Source organism: Homo sapiens, chromosome 4 (assembly GCF_000001405.40).
Source record: "Homo sapiens chromosome 4, GRCh38.p14 Primary Assembly".
In the NCBI taxonomy this organism is placed as follows: Eukaryota; Metazoa; Chordata; class Mammalia; order Primates; family Hominidae; genus Homo; species Homo sapiens.
The window spans coordinates 49,332,811-49,336,924 of record NC_000004.12 but is presented as its reverse complement, the minus strand read 5'-3'; the positions used below and the strand labels follow the sequence as shown (position 1 = coordinate 49,336,924).

Below are 4,114 nucleotides of genomic sequence, written 5' to 3'. Positions count from 1 at the left end.
GAATTCAGCAAAGTTTCCAGATACAAGATTAATGGACACAAATCAGTAGCTCTTCCATACATCAACAGCTACCAAGCAGAGAATCACATCAAGAACTCAACCCCTTTTACAATAGCTGCGACAAACAACAACAACAAAAAAACAAAACTTAGGAATATACCTAGCAAAGGAATCAAAGGACCGCTACAATGAAAATTACAAAACGCTACTGAAAGAAATCATAGATGGAGCCAAGCACGGTGGCACATGCCTATAATCCGAGCTACTCGGGAAGCTGAGGCAGGAGAATCGCTTGAACCCGGGAGGCAGAAGTTGTAGTGAGCCGAGATCACACCATTGCTCTCCCACCTCAGCGACAAGAGCGAAACTCCTTCTGAAAAAAAAAAAAAAAAAAAAAAAAAAAAAAAAACAAGAAAGAAAAGAAGTCATAGATGACACAAACAAATGGAAATGCATCCCCATGCTCATGGATGGGTAGAACCAATATTGTGAAAATTACCATTCTGTTAAAGGCAATCTACAAATTCAATGCAATCCCCATCTGAATGCCACCATCATTCTTCACAGAATTACAAAAACAATTCTAAAATTAATATGGAACCAAAAGAGAGCCATGTAACCAAACCAAGCCTAAGCAAAAAGAACCTGGAGGTATCACACTACTTGATTTCAAACTGTACAATAAGGCCATAGTTACCAAAACACCAACGTACTGGTTTAAAAATAGGAACATAGACCAATGGAACAGAAGAGAGAACCCAGAAATTAACCCAAATACTTACAGCCAACTGATCTTCGACAAAGTAAACAAAAACATAAAGTGGGGAAAGGACCCCCTTTTCAACACATGATGTTGGGATAATTGGCGAGCCACATGTAGGGGAATAAAACTGGATTCTCATCTCTCATCTTATACAAAAATCTACTCAAGATGGATTAAGAACTTAAATCTAATTCCTGAACTATAAAAATTCTAGAAGATAACACTGGATAAACCCTTCTAGACATTGACGTACGCAAGGATTTCATGACCAAGAACCCAAATTCAAATGAAATAAAAACAAAGATTAATAGCTGGGACTTAATTAAACTAAACAGCTTTTGCATGGCAAAAGGAACAGTCAGCAGACTAAATGGACAACTCAGAGTGGGACCCCTGAACCTGACCCTGACCCCTGACCCTGATCCCTAACCCCTGACCCTGACCCCTAACCCCTGACCCTAACCCTAACCCTTAACCGTAACCCCTAAGCCTAACCCCTAACCACAACCCTCACCCTCACACTAATCCAACCCTAACCCCTTATCCCTAACCCCTAACCTCTCTTAACCTCTAACTCTAAACGTTGACTCTTAACTCTTAACTCTGACCCCAACCCCTATCTCCAACCCCTAACCCTAAACTTAACCCCTAACCCCTAACCCTAACACCAACCTTAACCCTAGGTTCGTTACTACGTTTGTACTATGTCAATGTTGATTATTATGATCTCTGTCTTAGGACTGCATGGCAGCAAGGGGATTGCGGATCTTATATTAATATTTTTGTATTGAGGCAGTGCATTAGCATTACAGGTGCTTGTTACATGAGCAATGGGAGTGTCATAATTTGGGTGTCATGTCTGCATTAGGAATGCTGCATTTGTCTTCCGAGTCTGCGGTGTGGATCTCGCACTGTGGCCGCCTCGGCTTGGCTGGGGAGAACCTCGGTTGGCAGGATTCAGAGGGGCTTTTGGTTTCCCTTTTCCACACTGAGCCCTTCTAACTGGTCTCTGGCCCTGATTATTCAGGGCTGCAAAAGGGAAGGATTTTATTCACCGTCTATGCGGTCCCGAGTTGTCCCAAAGCGAGGCAGTGCCCCAAAGGTCTGTGCTGAGGAGAACGCTGCTCTGCCTTAGCGGTGTCCCCCGGGTCTGTGCTGAGCAGAACGCAGCTCCGCCCTCGCGGTGCCCCCGGCCCGCCTGGGTCTGTGCTGAGGAGAACACTGCTCCGCCTTCGCTGTATCTCTGAAGTCTGTGCAGAGGAGAACTCAGCTCCGCCCTGGCGATGCTCTCCTTGGCTGTGCTGGGAAGAACGCAGCTCCGCCCTCGCAAAGGCGCACAGCGCGGGCGAAAGGCGCAGAGAGGCCCACAGCGCCGGGGCAGGCGCAGAGAGGCCCACAGCGCCGGGGCAGGCGCAGAGAGGCCCACAGCGCCGGCGCAGGCGCAGAGAGGCAGAAGGCCCATGAGGGGAAGGTGAGACACCTGGGGCAAAGAAGAAAAAAAAATGCGCCGCGAAGCAGTGTCTGGGTCATCCAGGGACGAAAGTTTTTTCCCATCAGGCCTTGCGCTGGGCCCCAGGGACCCTGGCATCCCTGGTTCACGCCCGGGGTGTGCCTCAGGCGACTAGGGGTACCCCAACTTGGACAGAAGGCCCATGAGTGGAAGTTGAAGTTTGTGGGAGGAGAGGTGAGGCACCAGGGGCAGAAAAAATAAAAAAAGAGGACCGCGTCTCAGAGAAGCGGGGCCTGGGTCCCCCACGGATGAAAGTGCCTTCCCATCAGGCCCTATGCTGGGCCTGGTGGACCCTGGCGACCCTGGTTCGAGCCCAGGGTGCGCCTCGGGACAGCTTGGGGTACCACAAAGCAAAGAAAAGGTCCATGAGGGGAAGGTGAGGCACCTGAGGCAGAGAAAAAAAAAATGCTCAGCCGAGAAGCAGTGCCTGGGTCCCCCACGGATGAAAGTGCCATCCCATCAGCCCCTTCGCTGGGCCCTGGGGACCCTGGCGTCCCTGGTTTGACCCTGGGGTACGCCTCGGGACAGTAGGGGTACCCCAAGGTGGGCAGAAAGCCCCTAAGGGGAAGGTGAGGCACCTAGGGCAGAGAAAAAAAAAAACTTCACCACGGAGAAACACGGCCTGGGAGCCCCACAGACGAAAGTGTCTTCCCATCAGTCCCTGCACTGGGACCCAGGGACCCTGGTGTCCCTCGTTCGAGCTCAGGGTGTGCCTCGGCCGCTAAGTGCACCCCAAGGGGGCTTTGGGGACACAAAACCCGTGAGGGGAAGGTGAGTTTTGAGGGAGGAGAGGTGAGGCACCTGTCACAGAAAAAGAAAAAAAAGAAACCCGCACCGCGGAGAGGTGGGGCCTGGGTACCCCACGGATGAAAGTGCCTTCCCATCAGCCCCTGCGCTGGGCCCCGGGGAACCTAGAGTCCCTGGTTGGAGCTCAGGGAGAGTCTCGGGCCACTAGGGATACCCCAACACGGTGGAAAGCCCATGAGAGGAAGGTGAGCTGTGAGGGAGGAGAGGTGAGGCACTTGTGGCAGAAAAGAAAAAGAAACCGCGCCACGGAAAAGTGGGGCCTGGGTCTCCCATGGAAAAAAAGTGCCTTCCCATCAGTCCCTGAGCTGGGCCACGTGGACCCAGGCGACCCTGGTTCTAGGCCTGGGTGCACCTCGGGCCCGCTAGGTGTACCCCAAAACGGGCAGAAGGCCCATGAGGGGAAGGTGAGGTTTGAGGGAAGAGAGGTGAGGCACCTGCGGCAGAAAAAAAAAAAAACCGTGCGGAAGAGAAGCGGGGCCTGGGTCTCCCACGGACGAAAGTGCCTTCTCATCAGCCCCTGCGCTGGGCCCCCTGGACTCTGGCGACCCTAGTTCAAGGACCAGAAGAGACTCCGGCATGCTAGGGTACCCTAAGGAAGCCAGAAAGCCCATGAGGGGAAGGCGAGATTTAAGGGAGGAGAGGTGAGTCACCTGTGGCAGAAAAATATATATATATATATATATATATCAGCACCTCGGAGAAGCCGGGCCTGGGTCCCCACTGATGAAAGTGCCTTCCCATCAGCCCCTGCGCTAGCCCCGAGAACCTGGCGACCCTGATTGGAGACCCGGGAGCGCCTCGGGCCTGCTCGTGGTACCCCAAAGCAGGCAGAAGGCCAGTGAGGGGAAGGTGAGGCACCAGGGGCGGAGAAAAAAAACCGCAGCTTTGAGAAGCGGGGCCTGGGTACCCACGGATGAAGGTACATTCCCATCAGCCCCTGCGCTAGGCCCCGGCGACCCTGGCATCCATGGTTCGAGTCCAGGGAGAGCCTTGGGCCGGAAGGGGTACCCCAAGTAGAGCAGAAAGCCCATGAT

At 52.7% G+C, this 4,114-nt stretch overlaps 2 annotated features.

The window, feature by feature from the left end:
* Positions 1,531-2,031: an enhancer, noted in NCBI's record as "H3K27ac-H3K4me1 hESC enhancer chr4:49336911-49337411 (GRCh37/hg19 assembly coordinates)". NCBI's record gives its function as "activates a minimal SCP1, AML or CMV promoter by ChIP-STARR-seq in primed H9 embryonic stem cells {active_cell/tissue: H9 hESC(primed)}" and the evidence as "EXISTENCE:reporter gene assay evidence [ECO:0000049][PMID:30033119]".
* Positions 2,032-2,532: an enhancer, noted in NCBI's record as "H3K27ac-H3K4me1 hESC enhancer chr4:49336410-49336910 (GRCh37/hg19 assembly coordinates)". NCBI's record gives its function as "activates a minimal SCP1, AML or CMV promoter by ChIP-STARR-seq in naive H9 embryonic stem cells {active_cell/tissue: H9 hESC(naive)}" and the evidence as "EXISTENCE:reporter gene assay evidence [ECO:0000049][PMID:30033119]".